The 26385-nt window shown below is 40.7% G+C and overlaps 1 protein-coding gene across 19 annotated transcripts in view, besides 2 other annotated features; it reads left to right on the top strand.

Annotated features, from left to right (window-relative positions):
* The window catches only part of SYTL4 (synaptotagmin like 4), a 57631-nt gene that overhangs the window by 26794 nt on the left and 4452 nt on the right, over positions 1-26385 (top strand). For 6 of the 19 annotated variants that reach the window (NM_001129896.3, XM_017029967.3, NM_001370160.1 and 3 more), the window contains 15 exons: positions 2143-2235; positions 3221-3400; positions 3655-3870; positions 3999-4108; positions 4329-4431; positions 14119-14220; positions 14690-14765; positions 15163-15253; positions 15369-15472; positions 16885-16977; positions 18083-18261; positions 18547-18649; positions 19177-19338; positions 23993-24101; positions 25916-26015. In NM_001129896.3, the coding sequence (NP_001123368.1) occupies positions 3291-3400; positions 3655-3870; positions 3999-4108; positions 4329-4431; positions 14119-14220; positions 14690-14765; positions 15163-15253; positions 15369-15472; positions 16885-16977; positions 18083-18261; positions 18547-18649; positions 19177-19338; positions 23993-24101; positions 25916-26015 (1658 nt within the window). In that variant the 5' untranslated portion in view covers positions 2143-2235; positions 3221-3290. Of the gene's footprint in view, positions 1-441; positions 518-2142; positions 2236-3220; positions 3401-3654; positions 3871-3998; positions 4109-4328; positions 4432-14118; positions 14221-14689; positions 14766-15162; positions 15254-15368; positions 15473-16884; positions 16978-18082; positions 18262-18546; positions 18650-19176; positions 19339-23992; positions 24102-25915; positions 26016-26385 lie in introns of all 19 variants that reach the window. The other 13 variants (NM_001370161.1, XM_017029968.2, NM_001370163.1 and 10 more) reach the window with 3 other exon arrangements.
* Positions 19404-19453: a silencer, noted in NCBI's record as "silent region_20916". NCBI's record gives its function as "represses an Ori minimal core promoter by ATAC-STARR-seq in GM12878 lymphoblastoid cells {active_cell/tissue: GM12878}" and the evidence as "EXISTENCE:reporter gene assay evidence [ECO:0000049][PMID:35858748]".
* Positions 19514-19563: a silencer, noted in NCBI's record as "silent region_20915". NCBI's record gives its function as "represses an Ori minimal core promoter by ATAC-STARR-seq in GM12878 lymphoblastoid cells {active_cell/tissue: GM12878}" and the evidence as "EXISTENCE:reporter gene assay evidence [ECO:0000049][PMID:35858748]".

The raw sequence follows: 26385 nt of genomic DNA, 5'->3' as shown, positions 1-26385 counted from the left end.
CCTGAATCCTAATCTATACAATGGGGGTAATAATAGTCACTCATTCTTGGTATTGTGGCAAGGATTAAATTAGTTAATATATGTTAGGTACTTGTTTGGCGTATAGTCAATTCTCAATAAAAGATACTGTTGGGGTGACAATGACAGTGATTGCAATATTGGCAGCATATGCAAAATTGCGTACCAGATATTGCATTAAGTGCTAGGGCAGATACAGAGGAGAAGATTGAAAAAGTCCTTGTTTTCATGGAGGGTATATATTCTCCTTGGGGATAAGAACTAAGAACACTTCCTCAAGACTGTCTAAGAAAGGGTGTGTGCAAGAGGCTTAACATCTTATAGTTCAATAAAGACCAGGAAATATACAAGTTGAGGAAATATTGAGGTTTCAGGAACCTGTATAGCTTTGCCGTGTTGTTTATGTTCTCCACTGTTTTGTAGGGAACTAGTAAAAAAAGAAAAAGAAAAAATAAAGTGAAAGAGGCGTGTTGTCTAGTTTCAAAGGAGAGGAGAGAAGGTAAGTGTGATTCTCATTTCCTTTTTCACTCTCTGTCTACCTTGGGCTCTTTGACTCCCATGACTACCAAGTGTATATTATCAGATACATTTTTTCTTCCTGAGGTCCAGCCCTGTGTCTCCAACTATTTCCTGGGCCCAGTTACCTGGATATCAAGTATGCAACACTAACTTAATAGGGTTAAAACAAAACTTTTTGCCTTACTTCCAAACCTGTTTCTTTCCTTACATCTTCTATTGCTATGAGGGCTGTCACTAGCCAGTCAGTTGTTTAATCTTGACTGTGAACTAGGCATCTTTGACTTCACCTTCTTCATCCTCTCTGCTCAGTCAGTCTCCCTATTCTGTCAATTCTACTTCTCAAACCTATTCTGTTTTTTCTTGCTGCCTGGCTCAGGCCTTTATCATTTTAGAAGATTCAGCAAGTATTTGTACTCCAAACATTGTGATTGGCCCTTTAACACACATTATTTAATTTTTTAAACAACGTTTGAGGTGGGTCGTTTTGTAGATGAGAAACCAAAGAGTCAGAAATAAAATGACTTCTGCTGGGCACGGTGGCTCTGTCTATAGTTCCAGCTACTTGGGAGGCTGAGGCAGGAAGATCACTTGAGCCCAGGAATTTGAGTCCAGGCTGGGCAACATAGTGAAACTCTGTCTCTAAAAATGAAAAATAAAATGAAATGAAAAATAAAATGACTGGTCTAATTGTTTAGAGGCACAGTTAGTAAATCTAGATTGTCTTTTGCTGCAGTATTGTAATAATATCTCTGCCTCATTTGTATTGTTTTCTTTTTTGAGATATAAATGGAAGATATATGTAAAAACAAATTAGAACTATGTGAAGTAAAAAGTGAAAGTTGCCCCTTCCCAATTCTACTCCCCAAGGGAAACCAATGATAGTGGCTTTTGTTCTAGACCTTTCTCTTTGCATATACAAATATTTAGATAAATTCTTTATAAAAGATCATTTTTTATTGTCCTACAACTACTTTTTCACTCATGGCCATATTTTTATGTCAGTACGTGTGTATCTACCACATTTTTAATGGCGACATAATGTTCCATTATGGGGACATATTATTTTGTTTAATGATTCCTATGTTAAATAACTGTTTCTGTTCTTACAAATAATGTTGCAGTAATAGTCTTGTGCATATACTCTTGCTTGTGCATTTGTATGAATATTTCTATTAGGTAAATTCTTAGAAGTCATATTGCTTGGTTAAGTATATGCCTATTTTAAATGTATGTACTACCAAATTGTCCTCTGATTTGTCCTCTAAATCAGTCTTTCATATTATAACTAGAGCGATATAGCTATAATATGTCTTTGTAAAGTGAATTTCATCATGTGATTTCCCAGCATCAAAAAGCAACATCAGAGATGTTTGGTGGATTTCTATTGTCTATGCAGTAAATTTTAAAATTAAAAAAAATTTTTTCCAGACAGGATCTTGCTTTGTTGCCCAGGCTAGAGTGGGCCACATGTGATGGCGTGATCTCAGCTCACTGTAGCCTCAACCTCACAGGCTCAAACAATCCTCCCACTTCAGCCTCCCGAGTAGCTGGGAATGCAGCCGTGTACCATCATGGCTAGCTAAGTTTTGATTTTTCTTTTTGTAGAGACTGAGTCGCCCTGTGTTGCCCAGGCTGGTCTTGAACTCCTAGGCTCAAGAGATCCTCCTGCCTCAGCCTCCCAAAGTGCTGGGATTACAGGTGAGAGCCTCCATGCTGAGCCAAAATTCTTAAAATTTTAAAAAAGTTTTTAAGAGTTATGTAATCTGGTCCCAAACTATCTTTCCTACCATTCTTCCCTACCAGGAAATTTGTCCTCTGATAAGGCAAAATCCACCTCTTCTGTGAAATTTCCCATGTATACTGCTCTCTTTCCTCTCTCTATGCAAGATAGAATGAGTTGCTTTCTTCCCTAAGTTCTCATAGCACTTAATTTATAGTCCCTTATAATCCCTCTGATAGCACTTAATGCGTTGTACTGTATTTATGTGTGTCTGTCTCCCCTGCTACTCTGTGATTTTCATAAGGGTAGGAACTGTGCCTTACTCATCTTTGTATCCCCAGCACTTTACACAATGCCTGTCAGCGTAGTGCTCAACAAGTGTTCATGAATTTGGGAAAGATATCCTGGAGGTAGTGCTAGAGTGCTAGTATGATAAGAACTTTGAGAGATAGAGTAGGGGGTGGAAGTTTTGAAGTATAGCAGAAAGCTGACTGACTCCTGGGAGAATGGAAGCTGGTTAGGAATAGACAACTGGGCTTAAACTGGCAGGAGCCTTCATGTGCTTTTCTCCTTCACTGCAGAGACCAGCTGCCTGGTTATTTGGGTTAATAGGCTTGAGATTTGAGAACATTTAAAGTATTAAAAATTGGATGATTGAGGACTCACTTGGTGGAGGGGGAGATTGACTCAGCTGTTCTATGTTCTTTCCAGACTAAGATGCATATACTGAATAACCAATCCTTTTCCCAGAGTCACGAATAACTTTTTCTTTCTGAAAAATCAAGGACTCTTCATTTTCAGGGCATGTTTCGGATGGGAGTAGGAAGACTAAATAGGTCAGATACTTCTACTTTGTCTCTTTAGCTTGGCTCAAGGGGAAAGGAACCTATTGAAAGGGTTTAGGGCTGTGGGCCTATTCTTGAGTAAATCATCTGTGTGAAATTAGTTCTTTTGTCATTTCAGGCAACTCTGGTAGCTCTCCTTGTCTGGTTGTTTTGAAGAAAGAAGAGTAGAAGAAAAAGTTGAGTAAATCATGTCGGAGTTACTGGACCTTTCTTTTCTGTCTGAGGAGGAAAAGGATTTGATTCTCAGTGTTCTACAGCGAGATGAAGAGGTCCGGAAAGCAGATGAGAAAAGGATTAGGTAAGAGTTCCCCAAAACGCATGGGGTCCCAGGCCTTTGACCAATGATGTCTGGGCTTTTCCTTATGTCTCCCACCTGACTTTCATAGGAATTTGTATATGTGATGTTTACCACTACTTATTGGGTCACGCTGGGCTCTGAGTTTGTTGCTTCCACAGAACCAAATAGTCTTACTGTCTTTACCTCTCAACCCCTCTCCATCCAATCTATGCATATCCTGAATCCACTTACGCTTCTGTTTTGGGTCTTGGCAGGCGACTAAAGAATGAGTTACTGGAGATAAAAAGGAAAGGGGCCAAGAGGGGCAGCCAACACTACAGTGATCGGACCTGTGCCCGGTGCCAGGAGAGCCTGGGCCGTTTGAGTCCCAAAACCAATACTTGTCGGGGTTGTAATCACCTGGTGTGTCGGGACTGCCGCATACAGGAAAGCAATGGTACCTGGAGGTGCAAGGTGTGCGCCAAGGAAATGTGAGTGTCACCTATGGCTGAGTAGAGAGGGGGCGAGGCCTTGGCCGTGGTGAGAATTTCTTTCCTCAGCCTTTATTAGACAAGAACCATTCTTTATCCATCTGTCATTTTCTTTTATTTCTTCCCAGAGAGTTGAAGAAAGCAACTGGGGACTGGTTTTATGACCAGAAAGTGAATCGCTTTGCTTACCGCACAGGTAGTGAGATAATCAGGATGTCCCTGCGCCACAAACCTGCAGGTACTGGACCTGTCTAGAGATGGTTCTTGGTATGGAATCCTAGTGTATTCTGACTGGTAGCATCTTAACTCCATGGGCTCAGCCAGTTAGTGGAGAATAGAAGATTGTATTGTCATCCCTTCTGCAAGCATGGTGTATTTCAGGGGATTTGCTATGAGGGTTGTTTCCTTTTTCCCCTACTCATAACCACCACCCTGGCATACTTTTCTTTGTCTTGAAGTGAGTAAAAGAGAGACAGTGGGACAGTCCCTCCTTCATCAGACACAGATGGGTGACATCTGGCCAGGAAGAAAGATCATTCAGGAGCGGCAGAAGGAGCCCAGGTAAGAATCAAGTAATTGTTTAAAGAAATGCTTACAATATCCCTTTAATTCTTTTACTATTCTTTTTACTTCTTCTGTTTATAAAATAATAGATGTTCATTATAGGAAAACTTGAAAAGTACAGAAAATAGTAAAGGAGGGAAAAAATCATTCCTAATCCCACTACTCATATGTAGACATTAACATTTTGGTATATTTACTTAGTTCTTTATTTTTTATAGTTTGCATTCGCTTTCTCAGGTTGAATAGTTTGTTCTTTATACGAACAATTTGAAGACAAATAAAAATAACACATGCTCATTATTAAGCAACAAATCACCCACATTCCTACTACCCCAGTTTTCACATTATGTGAAAATTATTTCGTATATCTTCTATGTATATACATAACGGGTTGACTGGATGGATAAACTGAAAAATCTTTTTAATATTAGATCATAGTATAATAAATTAAAATCATCCTATTTAATTTTACTTGAATTTAACAGAATAAAACACTGAAATAAAATGAAAGAATAGCTAATCTTCAGACAAATGTTTTTTTAAAGTAAAAGATATTAGTTGTTAACATTCCTCTAAGCTTAAGAAAAAATATTATGAAAGCCATTGAGCAGTTGGTCACTTTTTTAGTGGAGTTTTTTTGGTAACAGCCTTATTGAGATATATATAATTCACATACTATACAATTTGTCCATTTTTGGTGTACAATGCAATAGTTTTTAGTATATTCACTGAGTTTTGCAACCATCCCTTGAATCAATTTTAGAAAATTTTCATCACCTCAAAAAGAAACCCTTTACCCTTTTAGCTGTCACCCTCCCTGATCCCTAAACAATCACTCATCTACTTTCTGTCTCTCTGTATTTGCCTATCCTGGGTATTTCATGTAAATTGAATCATACAATATGTGGTCCTTTTTGACTTGCCTCTTTCACTTAACATTAACGTTTTCAAGGTTCATCCATGTTATAGCATGTATCAGAACTTCATTCCTTTTTATAGCCAAATAATACCCCATGATATGTATTTATCACATTTTATCTGTTCATCTGTTGAAGAACATTTGGGTTGTTTCTACTTTTTGGTTATTAAGAGTAATGCTGGGCCAGGCGCAGTGGCTCACGCCTGTAATCCCAGCACTTTGGGAGGCTGAGGCGGGTGGATCATGAAGTCAGGAGATCGAGACCATCCTAGCCAACATGGTGAAACCCCATCTCTACCAAAAAAAAAAAAAAAAAAAATTAGCCAGGTGTGGTGGCACGCACCTGTAGTCCCAGCTACTCGGGAGGCTGAGGCAGGGGAATCACTTGAACCTGGGAGGCAGAGGTTGTAGAGAGCCGAGATCGCGCCATTGCACTCCAGCCTGGCAACAGAGTGAGACTCCGTCTCAAAAAAAAAAAAAAAAAAAAAAAAAGAGTAATGCTGCTATGAACATTCATTAAGAGTTTTGTGTGGATGTATGTTTTCTTTTCTTTTTTTTTCTTTTCTTTTCTTTTTTCTTTTCTTTTCTTTTTCTTTTCTTTTCTTTTGAGACGGAGTTTCGCTCTTGTTGCCCAGGCTGGAGTGCAGTGGCGCCATCTCGGCTCACTGCAACCTTCACCTCCCAGGTTCAAGCGATTTTCCTGCCTCAGCTTCTTGAGTAGCTGGGATTACAGGCACGCGTCACTAAGCCCAGCTAATTTTCATGTTTTTAGTAGAGACGGGGTTTCACCATGTTGGCCAGACTGGTCTTGAACTCCTGACTTCAAGTGATCCACCTGCCTTGGTCTCCCAAAATGTTGGGATTACAGGTGTGAGTCACCATGCCTGGCCTGTTTTCATTTTTCTAAGGTGGATACTTTGGAGTTAGCCGTCATTTTAAAAATCTGCCTGTTTCAATATTTAACATTATCAGTGGGCGCTTTGCTGTGAAAGAGGAAGCAGTTAGCTTTCTTACACTTCCCCCCGGTTATTTTCTTCTATCCCCACTATTTGTTACTCAAATTATTTTTCCTTTGTCAGGGTTTATAATATTTACATTCTCTTATATAACCATAAACCATCTGTTTGTTTTATCTGTTTGTTTCCTTTTAGTTTTATACTTAAAAGGATTGTATGCTTACAACCAGGCCTTATACCACAACTTCTCTATTTCTGATTTATTTCTTGGTTTTCTGGATTTCATCATTGAGGAGGTCCTTCAAGAAGAGCTTGCAGGTGCTATATTTATTGTATTCTTACATGTTAAGAATGTCTGCCAGCTGCCTTTATACTTGAATGGTATCTTGGCTGGATATTATATTCTTGGGCCACATTTTCTTTCCCTCAGAATGTTGTAGACATTGTTCCATTGTCTTCTTCCATTGAATGTAACTGTGAAGAAGTCTGAGGACATCTTGGCCCTTGTCTTTCTTTCTTATGGATGAGAGAGAGAGAGAAAGAGAAAGAGAAAGGGAGAGAGATTGGACTTGCCTGAAAATTTTCTTTTCTTTTTCTTGAAGTTTAGTAATTTAAGGGCTGGGCACAGTGGCTCACTCCTGTAATCCCAGCACTTTGGGAGGCCGAGGCGGGCGGATCACAAGGTCAGGAGATCGAGACCATCCTGGCTAACACGGTGAAACCCCGTCTCTAATAAAAATACAAAAAAATTAGCCGGGCGTGGTGGCAGGCGCCTGTAGTCCCAGCTGCTGGGGAGACTGAGGCAGGAGAATGGCGTGAACCCGGGAGGCGGAGCTTGCACTGAGCCAAGATTGCTCCACTGCACTCCAGCCTGGGCAACAGAGCAAGACTCCATCTCAAAAAATAAAAAATAAAAAAAAAGTTTAGTAATTTAACAAGGTTGTAACTCAATGGTGATCATTCTGTATCATTTTTCCCTATATGTGATATATCCTTGATGAGTTCTTTCTTCATTGCTGGAAAATTTTTCTGTATCATGTCTCAGAACTCTTTTTCTTTCTGTTTTATTATTTAAGTTCTCCACCTCAGAGATACTGGATTTTCTTATCCTCTATTTTTGTCATTTTCTTTTACTAGCGAATGGAATAGGAAAAATGGTGAAAGCAATTAACTGTGATTAGCCCAACCCATTCCTCCATGCTATTAATTTGGTTTTCAGTTTATTTCCCTCCCCTACCCCTTTTCCCCTCCCTTCCTTACTTTTTGCTGCTTCTAATTTAATTATTTGAGTAAATTATCTTATTTAGGTTTTGATTTGTTCTTTGCTCTAATCTTCTTTCTCTCATTTTGTTTTATCATCTTGTATTTGAATTCTTGCACTTTATTGAATTTATATTATTAGTTCCCCTGTAGTGTAAAGCACTCACATGAAACCTACTTGTTTTCCTAGGGTTAAATTCTTCTCCAGACTCGGTTCTTCATCCATCTTGCAAATTGTTTTCATTTCTCTCCACTTCATGGCTATTTATATATCTGCCAGACTATTATTTCATTTTACTGAACTTTAATATGGGAAGTTTTGTCTGTATCTTTTGTTTCCTCTGATATAGCATATGTGAGTTCTTCTCACCTTAACTTGAAACAATTTATCTTTTCCCCATTCCCAGCTGTACTTTAGTTTAAGGACTGAATATTGCTTTTTATATTTCTTTCCTTGTAACCTGAAGGGGTAGGTGCAGAAGGCAACTTGGAGTCCTGAGTTTTGGTCTCATGAAATTCTCTTAAATGTCCTGGTTCAGGGCTTACCTGTCCCAGATCTGGGTTAATCCCCTAGCTCATACCAGTGCCCTGGGAGATGACATTTTGCATCAGTCTTGTCTGTCTCTGTTGAGGTTCTACAGTGGTACCTGGGGCTATAAATCTTGAGGACTTCTGTTTTTCTTGACTACTCACTCACTTAATCTGCAAATTGCTACATTGGAAAGGATTAGTTAAGGAGCTTTGCTGAATTAAATCTTCTGTTTTCTTAGGTGCGATTTTTGAAATCTGTGACTTGAGGCTTTATTTTTGACTCATTTGGTTGTGGCGGTGAATTTTTAGCTTTTGTATGGTGTGTGTGTGGTTTTTTTTTCCCCTAACTTTCACTCACCCAAAGGGAAATGACTTTATCATGTTTCATATGATTGTTGAAAAACAGCATAGAAATGTATAAAGTAAGTCCTCCAGTAACCTCACTGCTTCTTCCCCAGATAATTATCGTTAATAGTTGTGAATAGTTTTGGCATATGGACTACCAAGCTGTCTAAATATACATATATGGGTTGGGTTCCTAAGTTTTTAATTTCTTTTTCTTTAAAGGATGATACTATAAACATGTTAAGTGAAAAAAAGTGAAAGAAAAAGAACTTTAAAAACTCAATAATACAGACAATCCCATAGAAAATGCACAAAAAATTTGAACAGACATTTCACCAAAGACAATATAGAGATGTCAGATAAGCACATGAAAAGGTGCTCAACATCTTTAGTCATTAAATAAATTTGACCTAAAAATCACAATAAGATACTACTACATACCCATTAGAATGACTAAAATTAAAAAGACTGACCATGCCAATTGTTGGTGAGGATGTAAAACAACTGGATTTAAAAAAAATTTTCTTTTCTACATTTCCTCCTTGCTATTATAAACAACTAGCATTCTTATACACTGCTGGTGGGAATGTACAATGGCATAGCTACTTTGAAAAGCAGTTTAGCAGTATTTTAAAAAGTTCATTGTGCACCTACCTTGTGATTAAGTCATTTCATTCCTGGGTACTTACTCAAGAGAAGGGAAAACGTATGTTTGTACAAAGACTTCTACGTGAATGTTCATAGCAGCTTTATTTGTAATAGCCCAACCCTGGAAATAACCCAAATGCTCATCAGCAGGTGAATGGATAAACTGATTTGTTTATACGGTGGAATACTACTCAGCAATGGAAAGAAATGAACTATTGATACACGCAATAACATGAATGAATCTCAAAATAATCATGCTGAGTGAAAGAAGCCAAGCAGTAAAGAGTACATACTGTATGGTTCTGTTTGTATAAAAACTAGAAAATACAAACTAGAAAGCAGTGACAGAAAGCAGATCAACACTTACAGGAAGGGCAGGAGGGATTAGAATGGGGCAGGAGGAAACCTTTGGGAGTGAAAGATATGTTCATTAACTTAATTGTGGTGATAGTTTCGCAGATGTCTACATTTGTCAAAATGTCACGTTGCACACTTGAACATGTGCAGCTTATTTATGTCAGTTATTACTCAAAGCGTAAAAGAAAAAAATTGTAGAAGGATATAACATGAACATCTTTCTGTGTCAGCACCAAGGATCTGTTTCATTCTTTTGACATCTGTATGATGTTTCATTGTATATATGGACTGTGATTTTTATCTACACAGCCTTGGGTGGGTGACTCATCCGTTCCAGGTGATGAGGCCCCCTTTTTTCTTTGTGGATTAAGGATAAGAATGGCTTTTATTTGCTGAACCTGATTAACACATCTGACATCATCAGTCAGAATGTAATTTCTGAAACCTATTGCTTCTGGTTGTCTGTGATCTCTTGTCTCATTGGACCCAGAAGACTCTTATTTATCCTAAACATGAAAACAGATTAAGTGACCATAAATGATCTTTCCCATGAAATTATGGAGCCTCAGAGATAATTTAATTCAACCACCCTATTTTTGCAGAAAAGAAAGCAGGATAAGTGATTTACCTGAGATCATACAGATAGTTAGAGCCCAGGGCTCCCATCTCTTAGTCTATTTTTTACTGCACAGATGTCAAATAATTGCTTTTCTGCCCTTGGGTTGTTTGTATTAGCTGTGGATTGGTATGTATTAATCTTTAGGAAAAAAAGGAAAAACCACTCTCCATGGACCATTGTTAAAACTACCTCTCTGGAGGAATGGTTCTGCTTGGGTTTTTTTGGCGGGGGTGGGGGTGGGGACAAAAGGGGAAAAAGGACAATTCTAAAGTAAAAAATGAAATCAAGCCCCCCTGCTATGTCTTGTGCTATACAAGTAATACATCTTTCAAGGAATGACTGACATTTCACCTCTTGTAAGTACTAGGATTTCAGCCCTGCTGTCTGTTTTCACAGAACTGTCAAACATCATGTGACAACTTGGAGAGTTTATTCTTTACTGGCTAAGACATTATAGATTTTGGTTACCTCATTCTTTGTGCATCTATTAGTTTGTTTGTTTGACAAATATCTATGAATGCCTACTATGTGCCAGGCATTGTTTTAGACCCTGAGATACACTGGTGAATACAAGGCCTCTTGTTTGTGGGGCTTAGATTTCCGGGGTGGGAGATAAAAAGATAGTCAAGTAAATGTATGGTATATCAGATGTTGACAGGTGCTGTGGAGAAAATGAAGTAGACCAAAGGTATAGGGAGTGCCAGGAATGAATGTGTGTACATATACTGTTTAGGATAGCCAGGGCAAGTCTTAACAACAGGGTAACGTTTGAGCAAAGATATGAAAAAAATGAGGGAGCAAACCCTTAGGGTATCTGGGGGAAGAGCATGTAGATAGAGAAAGAAGGAGGTATAAAGACCCTAGGGTGAGATTTTGTTTGGCACTTTTGAGTAATCTGAAACTGAGTGAGCAAGGGAGGCTGAGGAAGGAGTTGAGGACAGAGATGGGATGAGAAGCAGATCATGTTAAGACTTTGGTGGCACTTGTAAGCATTCTGTCTTTTACTCCAAGTAAGAAGGATGGCTCTGAGGGGCACAGCCTTATTTTGTCTTCTTTTTAAAAATGGAGGTAAAGTTGACATAACATAAAATCATTTTAATCAATTTTAAAGTATAAAGTTCTGTGATTGTTAGTACTTTCAGAATGTTGTGAAATTAGATCACCACTATCTAATTTCAGAACATTTTCACCATCCCAAATAGAAACCCGATAGCCATTAAGTAGCCACCTCCATTTACCCCAGCCCCTAATATGCTTTCTGTCTTGATGGATTTGCCTAATCTAGACATTTCATATAAATGCAGTCATGCAATATGTGGCCTTTTGTGTTTGGCTTATTTCAATTAGCATAATGATTTCAAAGTTCATCCATGTTGCAGCATGTATCAGAATTTCATTGTCTTTTATTGATGAATAATCCATTATATGAATATACCACATTTCATTTGTCTAATCATGCATTGATGGACATTTAGGATGTTTTCATCTTTTGGCTATTAGGAATAATGCTGCTATGAACATTCATGTAACATTTTTGTGTGGACATATATTGTTTAGTTCTGTTGGGTAGGTACCCAGGAATGGAATTGCTGGGTCATATGATAGTTCTATCCCTGATTTACATTTTAAAAGCTCATTTTGGCTGTTGAGGGAAAGTCAAAGCCAAGGGAAGAAGCAGGATTAGTTAGGAGGCTACTGCAACCATCCAAGAGCTACATGATGGTGGTTTGGACCAGAGTAATGGCAGTGGAGGCAGTGAGAACGTATCAGAGTCTAGGTATACATTGAAGAGGATTTGCTGACAGATTTGATTTGTATTGTGAGAAAAAGAGGAGTAACCGATGATTCTTAGCGTTTTTGACTTGAGAAATGAAAGGGAATTGCCATTTGATGAGACAGAGCGAAGAGCAGTTTTGGGGGAAGATTAGGGCTTTGGTTTTGGGCTTGCTGTGTTTGAGACATCCACGTGGAGACATTGAGGAGGCCATTGGAAAAACAAGTCTGGAGTTTGAGTAAGAGATAAATTTGAGGCCGGGCATGATGGCTCACGCCTGTAATCCCAACACTTTGGGAGGCTGAGGCGGATGGATCACCTGAGGTCAGGAGCTCAAGACCAGCCTGGCCAACATGGTGAAAACCTGTCTCTACTAAAAATAAAAAAATTAGCCAGCCATGGTGGCACAAACCTGTAATCCCAGCTACTCAAGAGGCTGAGGCAGGAGATCGCTTGAACCCAGGAGGTGGAGGTTGTAGTGAGCCGAGATTGTGCCACTGCACTCCAGCCTGGGTGACAGAGACTCCATCTCAAAAAACATAAAAAATAAAAATAAATATATTTGAGTTATTAGTTTATTGAGGATATTTAAAGCCATGAGACTAGATGAGATCATTTAGGGATAATTCTAGATAGAGAGGAGGAGCAGCCCAAGGAAGAAGTTTGGACATAATCTAAATATTAGAGGTCTACGGGAGGAGGAAGGACTAGCAAAGGAGACTGAGAAGCAGCAGCCAGTGAGGTTGGAGGAGGAAACCAGGAGAGTGTGGTGTCCGGGGAGCCAAGGGAAGTTATTTGAGATATTTGAGGAAGAATCGATGTTTTTTCCCCCTTTTCCTGCTGCTCTCACTAATTCTTTGAGGTAAGGGGCCGAGGAACCGTATCCTTCCCTTGAAAGATGAGAACTGGTATTTTGAATGCCCAGAGTCATCCTTCATTAAGGCGATTAAGCTAAAAAAAAGAATTCTGGTCACCTGAATACTGTCTTCTAGACATACTGCTTATTTATGGATATATCTCAGTCCCACTGAGGGCATTTATTCAATAATTCAGTCAATAAAAATACTTGAGTGCATACTCTATGCTAGTCTCTCTTCAAGGCACTGAGAACACATCAGTAAATAAGATACGTGGTCACTGATCTTATGGAACTTTGTCGAATGGAGGAGAAAGACATTAAATAATTTGTTTAAATTATTGAACCAAATAAATAATTTGTTTAAAATACATAAATAGTTACATATGTGGTGACTGTTACTAGGAAATCAGGATGCTATGGGAGCACAGAGGAAGGTTACTAATCGAGACTTAGGGTGGGGGCATGGCCAGAGAGATCTGGAGGAATTGACATATAAGGAGAGACCTGAAGCAGGAGTAGATTGAGGCAGGTGAAGAAAAGTGGCCATTGTGAAAAGAATATCTTAGGCAGATAAAAGAGGGAAGATGGAGAGCTTCAGGATATTCAGAGAAACAAAATAACTTTGTCTTTCTAAAATATAAAGCTTGAAGGAGGAGTAGGGGGTGAAAAATGAGACTGGAGAGGGTGAGCAGGGGCCAAATCATGAGGATTTCTTGCCATGCTAAGGAGTTTCAGCTAAATCCCAACAGCAATGGGGAACCACTGAAGAGTTTTAAAAGTATACTGAGGGCCGGGTGTGGTGGCTTACGCCTGTAATCCCAGCACTTTGGGAGGCCGAGGCAGGCGGATCACGAGGTCAGGAGATCGAGACCATCCTGGCTAACACATTGAAACCCCATCTCTACTAAAAATACAAAGAAATTAGCCGGGCATGGTGGCACGCACCTGTAGTCCCAGCTACTCGGGAGGCTGAGGCAGGAGAATGGCGTGAACCCAGGAGGCGGAGCTTGCAGTGAGCCAAGATCGCGCCACTGCACTCCAACCTGGGAGACAGAGTGAGACTCCGTCTCAAAAAAAAAAAGTATACTCAGCTGGGCACCATGGTACATGCCTGTACTCAGCTGGTACACCATGGTACAGTTACTCAGAAGGCTGAGGCAGCAGGGTTGCTTGAGCCTAGGAGTTAGAGACTGTTGTGCACTATGATGGCACCTGTGAATAGCCACAGTACTCCAGCCTGGGCAACATTGCGAGACCTTATTTCTTAATTAATTAATTTATTATATGTTTAAAGTATACTCATATTTATTTTAGAAAGATCACTCAGGCTACGATTGTGAATGGATTGGAAAGAGGCCTGACTAGAGGCAGGAGAACCTGCTTCCTTTCAATATTGGCTCTTGGTTTTTATTCTAGTGTGCTATTTGAAGTGCCAAAGCTGAAAAGTGGAAAGAGTGCATTGGAAGCTGAGAGTGAGAGTCTGGATAGCTTCACAGCTGACTCGGATAGCACCTCCAGGTGGGGTTCCCCCCATTTCCCTCATCTCCTCTCAACCCAAGTTGTGATTTTGTTCTGCAGCATCAGTGTTCCTGACTTCTGTCCTCAGGAAGTTGAACGAAGTATTTTCTCTGTCCTCAACAGAAGTCTTTTCAGTAGCACGTCTACTGATTTGGCTCTGAGCACAGCTTCCTGGAACACATTGACATCTCTAGTCAATTCCCCCAGTATCTTGGAGTATTCTTCTTAGCCCAGTAGCAACTGATGCTGCTGTCCCTTAAGAATGAGGGTGTGAGTGTTTGTGTTTGTGCAAAGTTGCCTATCTGATCTTCTGCATTCCTTCCAGGTAAATCACATGCGAAGTGTACCTTCTGAATTTGGTTATTACGATGACCCAAGCCATTGGCTCTCCTTCCATAGAGCTTTGATCCCTGGGTAGAAGGGGAAGGGTAGGAGGTGACTTAGTTATAATTTCTGAATCTACCTCCAGGAGAGACTCTCTGGATAAATCTGGCCTCTTTCCAGAATGGAAGAAGATGTCTGCTCCCAAATCTCAAGTAGAAAAGGTAAGCTTCAGGTTATTGAGCCACCTTCCTCCCCTCCCTTCCTTCCCTTTCTCCTTTACCTCCTGTCTCCCTCCGTCTTTCCCTCCCTCCCTCCCCCTCACTCTTCTCTTCCTCTTTCTTCCCTCCCTCCCTCCATTCTCTTAGGCAGAATTTAAATCAGGAATTTCAACTAAACAAATTTCAGTTCAAATTCACTTGGGAGCATTTTCTGAAGTTTTGTTTGAAATGTGTGAGAAAATAGGTTTTGTACTATTTCTAGGCATTTAATCTTTCCTTTAAGTTTGTCATAGTTTAGCGAAAATCTGAGCCTTATTCTTCTTAAGACTGTCCTTCCTTACTCACTCCTTCTACCTATCCATCTGTTCTTTTCCATTTTCTTGCCCTTGTTCCTTCCTAGGAAACTCAGCCTGGAGGTCAAAATGTGGTATTTGTGGATGAGGGTGAGATGATATTTAAGAAGAACACCAGAAAAATCCTCAGGCCTTCAGGTAACTGGTTTCCCTTACTGGTCTTTCAGGACTGAAGTTCTGAGTACCCTTGATGGGCTCTTGGTATGGAGAAGAATAGGTCTCTTTGATTTGGCTTTTTTGGTCTTCCCCTCAGAGTACACTAAATCTGTGATAGATCTTCGCCCAGAAGATGTGGTACATGAAAGTGGCTCCTTGGGAGACAGAAGCAAATCCGTCCCAGGCCTCAATGTGGATATGGTAGGTGCCCTTATATTTTACTTGGTCACTATATGAAATTTTACTTATCTGGAGTTGGCTTTAGTACCTGATATTCTCAGTCAACCTATTTAATTCTTTAAGAAAAGGCAACATGAAACTTGATACCCCCAAGTTTCTAAAGTAAATCTGGTTCCTGATTTGCTTAAAGGAAAGGACTGTCTTTGCTATCTCTTTTTTTTTTTTTTTTTTTTTTTTGAGACGGAGTTTCGCTCTTGTTTCTCAGGCTGGAGTGCAATGGCACGATCTCGGCTCACTGCAACCTCCGCCTCCTGGGTTCAAGCAGTTCTCCTGCCTCAGCCTCCTGAGTAGCTGGGATTACAGGTGTGCGCCACCATGCCTGGGTAATTTTTTATATTTTTAGTAGATATGGGGTTTCACCATGTTGGCCAGGCTGGTCGCAAACTCCTGACCTCAGGTGATCCACCTGCCTCGGCCTCCCAATTTTTTTTTTTTTTTTTAAGAGACAGCATCTCACTCTGTTTCCCAGACTGGAGTGTAGTGGTACAATTATAGCTCAGTGCCACCTTGAACTCCTGAGCTCAAGCTGTCCTCCCACCTCAGCCTCCTGAGTAGCTGGGACTATAGGCATGAACCATCATACCCAGCTAATTTTTTTTTTTTTTTTGAGAGATGGGAGTCTCACTGTATTTCCCAGCCTGGTCTTGAACTCCTAGGCTCAAGTGATCCGCCCGCCTCTGCCTCCCAAAGTGCTGGAATTACAGGCATGAGCCATCACGCCTGACCATCTCTTTTATTTTCTAATAAATTGCTGGATATATGGCTGGGGCTCAAATAAATACTTCTTTTGATTAAAATGTAAACAGGGTTGGGGAAAGTCAAATGGAAAAGAGTTATAGCTTCTATGAAAAACATTAAATATTCTTATCTTATTCTTTTGAGATATGAGAAGGATGGTTGGAATAGAGCTGGGAACCCTGAAATGGGAAGACATGTAAAAAGAAGGATATGAGGCCAGGCATGGTGGCTCATGCCTGTAATCTCAGCACTTTGGGAGGCCGAGGCAGGCGGATCACCTGAGATCAGGAGTTTGAGACCAGCCTGGCCATCATGGAGAAACCCTGTCTCTACTAAAAATACAAAAATTAGCCAGGTGTGGTGGCGGGTGCCTGTAATCCCAGCTACTCTGGAGGCTGAAGCAGGAGAATTGCTTGAACCCAGGAGGCGGAGGTTGCGGTGAGCTGAGATTGCGCCATTGCCCTCCAGCCTGGGCAACAAGAGTGAGACTCCGTCTCAAAAAAAAAAAAAAAAAAGAAGTATGTGTGCGTACACATACACATGGCAACTTGGAGCTTTAAAGGAAAGATATTAGTCTTTGAAGCTAAAGAAAAGTCTTTCTTTTATTAACTCTGAATTTATATTTATTGTTCCAGGAAGAGGAAGAAGAAGAAGAAGACATTGACCACCTAGTGAAGTTACATCGCCAGAAGCTAGCCAGAAGCAGCATGCAAAGTGGCTCCTCCATGGTAAGTTCTATTAGATCTGTGGTTACAGGCATGTTGGGGTACTAGGAAGAAAAGAAGCACCTCCCTAGAGCAGATTCGGGACCTGGGGAAACCATCCTAGTCACTCTTTTCAGGTAAGTAAGATCATTTGTTTGTTCCTATCCTCAATTTAGACTATAGGTGCTTAGTGTACATCTAGGTGACTTCCTGAGCCCCCACCTGGAGATTATTACATTACAGCTTGGGACATTTTTCATCACAGCTTTGTGAACAATAACCTTAACTTATCCTCTAAAGGGGTACCCAGGCTATGAAGTGAGCAAGATCAGATTTCTTCATCATAGCCCATTCCAAATTCTCAACATTAAAAGAAAGTGAGTGTCATGAGAGGGGCTCTGGCAGGGTTGATCGACATCAGGGTATGGTTAACAAGCAATAATACCAGTCAGGATAATGAATTTAAAGGGAACATTTAAGAATCAGGGCCTGGTTCTGTCATAAGCATGAAGATTGATATTTAGGGAAACAGGAACAAGGGTGAACAGAATTTGTTCACACTCACACACAGGAAGAGAATGTCAGCTCGCATGACCGATTACTACCAGAAAGGAAGGTGCCTTTTCACTTCTGGTGGGGTTTCCTCCCTCCCACTCACTCCCAGTTCTGGCCAAATCTCTTTTCTCTGTAGGCCCTGATAAGACATAAGGTGGATAAGAGAAACCCACAGATAATTAAGGCACCTTGTTTTAGTTAGTAACTAACCCCCTTCTAGCTGGTGTTTTAGTGTATATAACACATTCCCCAGATGGACTTAACTGCACCTTGCCTCTGCTCCCTGCCCACCTCCTGGGGCAGGTGAAAATGAACACTAAAATTTGTAAAAAGAGTTGAGGAAGAGAAGCTAAGAGGCTAGGTGAGCCATGAGCTGATTCATTCACCTGAACAATTTTGAGTGCTGGTAGTTCTCTCTTACCCTCTGGGTCAAGGAATGTCAGCAGCACTGGCTTATTGCAGGGGCTTCTGAAACTTCTGTTCAGTGACTGTGGTTTTATCATGAGGGAAGATGTGAGCAATGCGGGCGGGGGAGTGTGCCTTCCCCAGATGTTCGTGGGTGCTTTATCTTCAGAGTACGATCGGCAGCATGATGAGCATCTACAGTGAAGCTGGTGATTTCGGGAACATCTTTGTGACTGGCAGGATTGCCTTTTCCCTGAAGTATGAGCAGCAAACCCAGAGTCTGGTTGTCCATGTGAAGGAGTGCCATCAGCTGGCCTATGCTGATGAAGCCAAGAAGCGCTCTAACCCGTGAGTGCTTCTGGAACCTGACTGATGCTCTGAGACCAGAGACCAGACCCCGGCATCTGTCCGGGCACTCTTGAACAGAGCTTATCTGTTTCTGGGGGAGCAGGGAGGTGTAATGTAGGAAAAGAACCAGGATTGGGAAAAAGCAAGAATGGCATGTCTAAGAGGGCTTGAGGTGACATTTTTGACATCACATGTCACCATGGCATATCTATATGGAGAGGAGGAAAGTGAAAAGCAGGCTTGAGAAAGGCCAGCAAATTACTCAGTGCTGTCTTTGGTTTCTAGATATGTGAAGACTTACCTTCTGCCTGACAAGTCCCGCCAAGGAAAAAGAAAAACCAGCATCAAGCGGGACACTATTAATCCACTATATGATGAGACGCTGAGGGTAAGTATCTAGACCTCAAGGGTAGGAGAACTTGTTCTGTCTTGTGCCCTAAGCTGTAGCTATTCCTCTGCAACATGACCAGGTGACACGGGCTTCAGTGGGCCATGTCTGTGTCTGAGGATACATTGGGTATCTGTTCACATCCTGATCTCCCAGTGAAGAGAACAAAGGTGATCTGCCTTTCCTGGATTGATGTGAAGTTTGAGATTCACATGGCCACAAATCTCATGTAAAAAAGACATTTGAGATAAGGAGTCTCCTTGGCAGTTCTTTTTGGACAATCCAGTGTTATCTCATCCACTTAAGAAAAAATGAATTTTCCAGGTCCTCCTATGGAATATGGTAGGTTTTTATAAAATGAGTTAAGTTGAGGCTTTGAGTGAGGAAACTCAAAGTGCTCAGGGAACATAAAGTAATTTGGTATTCAGGACTAGTGACTTCAGGAATGGTTGCTCAGGTTTTGGAATAATCTTGTCTGAAGAATTACCCTTAACTAATCATCTTGGGCTTTTACTTTCCCTTCACAGTATGAGATCCCAGAATCTCTCCTGGCCCAGAGGACCCTGCAGTTCTCAGTTTGGCATCATGGTCGTTTTGGCAGAAACACTTTCCTTGGAGAGGCAGAGATCCAGATGGATTCCTGGAAGCTTGATAAGAAACTGGATCATTGCCTCCCTTTACATGGAAAGGTAGTCTGCTTTAACAACTCCTGCAGTTTGGATCTGAGGTAGAATTGTCTGCAGTAGCCTCTGCTGGTCTATGTTGGTAGCGTCTTTGAATGTAGTCTTCTCTGGAGTTCTAGTGCCCCCTGCTGGTGTTTCTGAGTTTGACAGCAATTTCAGAGGCATTTGTCTATCAAGTGTGAGTTCTGTGTAAACCAGGCAAAGTGTGAAGCCATGGTTTTGCTTTGAAAAAATTTTCATATGTGTACCAAACTTTGTCTCCTAACCTTCCAGAATCTGGGTGTATCCTAACATCCTAACTCGCACCTCTTCTCCGAGCTAACCTTCTGTGTATATCCTAATCTGTACCCTTTTGCCAAGCCACTGCTTTACTTCCAAGTGGGAAGTAAAGCAATTCATGGAGCTCCAATTGCTATGCTCTTGGTTACAGAGGCCAGGGAAATATTACTTTGGAGATGGCACCTCGGGCCACAGTGTAGCAGTATGGCATAATCATGCCTGGGATCTGAGTGCAGACCTGTGTTGGAATCCTGGTTCTGTCACTTGCCAACTAGATGAGTCACTTAACTACAAAATAATGTAGGGAAATCATCTGGCTAAGAAGAAATAGCTAAAACAGAGGACTTATTCAGCAACTTCTTGATTATCAGAACTACACAATGACATGACAAAGTTCATCTTATTTTTTTTTACACTAGCGTTTTAAATGTGGGATGGTTTTACATGGTCCATAGACTTTGGGAAGTTAGATGAGAAACTAGTCATGGTGGCTGCCTCTAGGAATGGAGACTGAGGTAGAAGGAATATTTAGTTTTCTCTATATCCCCTTTTTAAGCATTTGAACTTTTTACCATATTAAGAAAATTAAGCAAAAATGGACTTATGTACACATGATTCAAAATTAAAACAACATAAAGTATATTAAAAGGAAAGTAGGTTCCATTCCTTAGAAATAACCAGTGTTAACACTACTTGTGTATCCTTCTAGAAATTTTTTATGGCTAGGTATGGTGGCTCACGCCTGTAATCCCAGCACATTGGGAGGCGGAGGCAGGCAGATCACCTGAGGTCAGGAGTTCGAGACCACCCTGACCAACATGGTGAAACCCCGTCTCTACTAAATACAAAAAAATTAGCTGGGCATGGTGGCGCAAGCCTGTAATCCCAGCTACTTGGGAGGCTGAGGCAGGAGAATCGCTTGAACCCATGAGGCGGAGGTTGCAGTGAGCCGAGATTGCGCCTTTGCACTCCAGCCTGGGCAAAAGAGTGAAACTCTGTCTCAAAAAAAAAAAAAAAAAAAAGAAAGAAAGAAATTTTGTATTAAGCAGCACAGATATGCATCCATGTATTTATATGTATTTTTTTCTTTTTTTACACAAATGGGTTCACATGGACCTCATTGTACACATTTTTTTTTTTCATTTATCATGGGCATCCTTTTGTGCCATCACTTACAGATCTATCTCATTTTAATTGCTGCTGCATAGTATTTTTTCATGTGCCTGTATTATAATTTATTTACCATTCCCCCACTAATAGGCCTTTAAGTTGTTTGAATTCTTTTTTGCTCTTAAAACTATGCTGTAATATATCTTGGTCTTCTTTTGTGAATGTAACTGTCAGAGAAGTTCCTGTTGGTGGAATTGCTGAGTGAAAGGAAATATAAATCCAATATTTTGATAGCTGTTGCCCTTGCAAAAAAAAATAGTGACAACATTAAATTTGTCCCTTTAAATACTAATAAAAACAGGAATTTGTTCAACAGCACAGTAGGATGACTATAGTCAACAAAAATATTTGTATTTCAAAATAGCTAGAAGATTTGAAATGTTTCCAGTGCAAAAAAATGATAAATGTTCAAAATGATGGATGTAACAAAATATCACATGTACCCCATAAATATATACAAATATTATATGTCAATAAAAAGACAGGAAAGAAATTATTACCAAAGTATAACATATTATTACAAATTTAGAATTTTTTAACCATTTGGCACCCAAGTCATTCTCTACGGTCAATATAATTATATTGGAAATGTCACTGTAAACCATCATGAACTACTGCCAATAAAACTTTTATATAAAGAGAAGAAACCACATTAACATGGAGGTCTTTGCTCTTTGTAAATATTTGGAGCCAGAATAAGAATGTGCTACTAAAACAAATATGCCAGTTTCTAGCTAATGCTAAACTCCAATTTTTAAGAGTCCACTGAAGTTCACAGAACTTTTCTAAAAAATAATTTTCTAGAAATTAATAAATTGTGTAGACATTTTATAAACAACAGAAAGACCATTCCCATATTATATATCGATTTTAACTTCTACATTTGTTGTTTCTGGTTTTGTTTTTGTTTTTTGTTTTTTCCCTAGCAATCCATTTGCTCCTATTCAGTTTTCCCTTGCCTGCATCTACCTCCCGATTCTTTTGTCTCTCTCACATATATTAAACTGTGTGTTCTGGGTATGTGGTATGTTGATCCAAACTTATGGGGATTATGCCTTCCTAGCATTGGTAAGGACCTAAGTTAGAGGAACCCCAATTAACACAGGCAAGGCCAAGTGCAGTGGCTCCTGCTTGTAATCCCAGCACTTTGGGAGGCTGAGGTGGGTGGATCGCTTCAGCTCAGGAGTTCTGGACCAGCCTGGGCAACATGGCAAAACCCCACCTCTACAAAAATTAGCTGGGTGTGGTGGTGTGCGCCTGTAGTCCCAGCTACTCGGGAGGCTGACGCTGGAGAATCACTTGAGCTTGGGAGGCAGAGGTTGCTGTGAGCCGAGATTGCGCCATTGCATTCTAGCCTGCCTGGGCTCTGGGAATGAAACCCTGTCTCAAAAAAAAAAAAAAAAAAAAAAAAAATACAGGCAGGTGAAAGGGCACCTCTAGTCTGCACCAGCTCATGCTCTGGATACTAAAGCACAAGGAACAAAGTCATGCCGAGAGAGCCAATCGAGTGAAGCAGTTCTGCCAATCAAAGCCAAAGACAATAGGCCACCTGCTGCTCATCTCAGACATTCATTCGTTCACTCTTACCTTCATTCAGTAAATATTTGTGGAGCACCTACTATGTGCCAGATACTTTGCTAAGTGTTGGGCATACTAGGATGAACAAAAATAGGCTTGATTTCTGTCTCTTGGCACTTCGGCTGCAGTGTTAGAGACAGACATTGATCAAAGATAACTTAAATGCAAAATTTATAATTGTGGCAAATCCAAATTCGTGTAACAGAGTTTCACCTAGCCCTCAAATCTTTGCAAGCCCTCCTTTTTTCTTTTTTTGGGGGGAGGGACAGGGTCTGGCTCTGTCGCCCAGGCTGGAGTGCGGTGGTGCGATCTTGGCTCACTGCAACCTCCGCCTCCTGGGTTCAAGTGATTCTCATGCCTCAGCCTCCCAAGTAGCTGGGATTATAGGCCCACACCACCCCGTCGGCTGATTTCTGTGTTTTTTGTTGAGACAAGGTTTTGCTGTGTTGTCCAGACTGGTCTCGAACTCCTGGACTCAAGCATTTGCCCACCTCAGCCTCCCAAAATGCTGGGATTACAAATGTGAGCCACTGCACCTGACTGAAAGCCCTCTTTTTTTTTTTCCCCTGCAAGCCTTCTTTTTAAAAATACCTTGTAAAAATACTTTGTATTTTTAAAAACCATACAAATGATATATACTATTCTCATTAAAAGGACACTAAAAGTTAATATGGAGTAAAAAAGGGAAAGTTGTCTTTCATTTCCCTATTCTGTTGCCCTCCCTAGAGGAAACGAGGATAAGTTTGTTCGTATCCTGGGTTTTTCTATGCAGTGTAGTATAATGTTTAAAAGCACGGACTCTGGAACCAGTCTGTCTGAATTTGAATCCTAGCTCTGCCAATTACTAACTGTGTGACCTTGGGCAAGTTACTTAGCTTCTCTGTTCCTCTCTTCCATCAGTTGTAAAATGGAGTTAATAGTACCTGTCTCATAGAGACAGTCATCAAACAAAATGATACACCTAAAGTACTTATAACAGTGCCTAGTACATAGTAAGGGCTAACATAAGTGATAATGGCAATCGTTATTTACATACATTTATATTCACATGTACAACTATGAATATATTTTAATATAAGTGGAACATTTTTCTGCATCTTGCTTTGTTGACTTAACCCTATGTCTTGGATATCTTTCCATGTCAGCATGTACAGATTCACTGAATTCTTTTTTGATGACTGCATGCCATATGCCATACCAGGACACTACAATTATTCATTTAACTCTTTCTATAGTGATTGACATTTAGGTCGTTTCCACTTTTTGGCTATTACTAACAATGCTGGTAGCAAGATTCTCTGTCATGCTGTCAGTCCTTCGTGAGTTTGTATGGCAACCTTGCTTGAAGATCTTTGAGAGTATTTGGAATCTAGTAACTATGCCCCCAAAGTGGCATAATAGTGGGTATTGCAGAAGACTCTTTGTTGGTTCTGCCCTATTTCCTTCTAAAGAAACTGCCATAGAAACCTGTGGCTGCCATGGCCTAGGGACGGTGGATTATATTCATATGAAGAAGGATCCTCTTTTGCCCTGATGCTGTTCTTGGGGGGTAATTTTAGAATTTTTTTCAGAGAGAAGTCCCAACAATTCTTGAGAAGCCCAGCTTGACCTGTTGGGTTTCCCTGTGTTTCAGATCAGTGCTGAGTCCCCGACTGGCTTGCCATCACACAAAGGCGAGTTGGTGGTTTCATTGAAATACATCCCAGCCTCCAAAACCCCTGTTGGAGGTGACCGGAAAAAGAGTGAGTTTTCTTTGGGGTCCTGGATGTAGCTTAGTCTTCTGCATAGGATCTGTGCAAGGCCGGTGCTGGCTACTGGTTAGCACTGTTGGAGAGACCAAATTGGGATGCTCCCTGGATCTGCTAGGGAGATTCCTTTACTAAGGAAGCCTCTCTGCGTTTTTTCAAACAGAAGGGAATGCCTTAGGGTTGGCATTCTTTTCTTTTTTTAGGCTATTAAATGGACTTGGTCTTGGTCCAGCTGTGGCAAGCTACTAAGAGGGCAGAAGAGAACAGAAACTTTGGGGCTGAGAAGGGTGGCTGGGAGAGGTGGTAAAGTATGAAGGACAGGAAGTTGAAAGCTGGGGAAGAGTAATTCAACATGCCAGCTGCTGTGTTAGTGACTACGGTTGTGTAGATGAGTAAAACATATTTGCTTTCCCTTGAGGAGCTTAAGTTTTTGCAAGAAAGACAGTCATGTGCTAAAAGGACACAGATATAGGAGTGGTGAATTATGTCTGGTTACATTTGGGAGAGCTTTGAAGAAGTAACATTAAAACTGGATCTTAAAACTTTACCAGACAGAAAAGGAGCAGGATGAGGAGAGAAGAGCATTTTCAGAAGAGGGGATAACATGCGCAAAGGTTTTAAAAAGGCATGGTAATGTGGGGTTGTATGTGAGTGTGTCCCTTATTTTAGTGGGACTGGAGTTCTGGTACACTAGATGTAGGTGTGGGGCTGGAGTTGGACATGAGGTGGGAGCCTGACTGAAGAGGGCCTTGAACTTAATGATAAAGAGTTTCACTTGATCCCTTGGCAATGTGTGGCCTACGTTCTTTGAAAAAATATACCTTTGGCAGAGTCACATCTAGAAGGTTTGGGGGAATCAATGAAATCCCCAATGAGGGTATGTAGCATGACTAGAGAAGAGAGGCAAGTATAGAACCAGAGAGATCAGCAACATTTTAAAGGATGAAGAGAGAAAGAAACACCAGTGAAGTAAAAGGTTATCAGGAGAGAGCTTCAAGAAGAAGGGGCGGAGGTTATCAACAGTATTGAAATACTACAGGGAGGTCAGACCAGATGAGGTCTGAGAAGACATGGCCAATTGGCATTAGATTGCATTTTCAGTGGATCAGTGAAAGCAGAAACCAGATTTCACTAGAAACTAGGCTGAGTGAATGGGCAAAGAAGTAGAGGTGGTAAGTGTGGACTTTTTTTCCTCAGGATAATTGATGGTGAAAGAAAGTAGAGACATGGAGAATAGCTTGAAGAAGAGATAAGGTTAAAGGGAGCTTTTCTTTTAGAAGTACTTTTTCAAAGAGATGAGATTAGTATATATTTAGACTGAGGGGAAGGGACAAGTGGAGAAAGAGATATTTAAATTGGGAGGTGAGGATTGAAATTGATGATGTCTGAAGAGTCCTGTGAAGTAGGGGTGGAATCGAGAACTCAGATGGAGGAGTTCCCTCTTTTTTAAATCATTGAACAAATATCAGGCAACTTTATGTCTCTAAGCCTCAATTTTCTCATGTACAAAATGAGGACAAAAATAGTGTGACTCTCCTAGGGTTGTTTTGAGAATTAAATGCTTAACATGGTATCTGGCACATAGCCAGTTTTCAATAGGCATTTATTAATATTGTGGTTGTTATTAATACAGCACCTATTGCTTACTGGCAGGCACTGTGCTAGGCACTGAGGAGACAGGACAGGCACGGTTCTGTTATGGAGCTCGCTGCCTTTAGGAGCAAGCAAAGAAAGTGCTGCATAAACAAAGCTCAAGATAAATCTAGAGGTGGAAGGGGCTCACTTGCTATGGCTGACATCCCTTACAGGTAAAGGTGGGGAAGGGGGAGAGCTCCAGGTGTGGATCAAAGAAGCCAAGAACTTGACGGCTGCCAAAGCAGGAGGGACTTCAGACAGCTTTGTCAAGGGGTGAGTCCCTAGACCAGCCCCAAATTAACCAGTTTCAGAACAAGAGAGCTAAGAGAAGAATTTAACTTTCTCTGTGGATATTATCCAGTGTGTCTTACCACTCCCGGCAACCAAATTTGTTCCTGAAATTAGGTAATGACAAAACCTTCACCACCTTTGCACTGGTCTGGGCTGTAGACTTGATAATCCAAAGAGGAGGGCTGCAGACAGGTTCTGACTTTTGTCTGACTCATGTTCTTAATTAATTCTGGGTGAAAATCTGTGTCTTCTGACTGTCTAGATTTGGGAACTCAGGGCTTTGTTTCCCACAGTTTTTAAGCTTTCCGAAAATTACAGATTACCTACTGACTTAATTTATCTAGAAATCATG

Source organism: Homo sapiens, chromosome X, assembly GCF_000001405.40.
Source record: "Homo sapiens chromosome X, GRCh38.p14 Primary Assembly".
Taxonomy (NCBI): domain Eukaryota; kingdom Metazoa; phylum Chordata; class Mammalia; order Primates; family Hominidae; genus Homo; species Homo sapiens.
The sequence above is the reverse complement of the archived record's forward strand: the minus strand, read 5'-3'. Positions and strand labels throughout refer to the sequence as shown.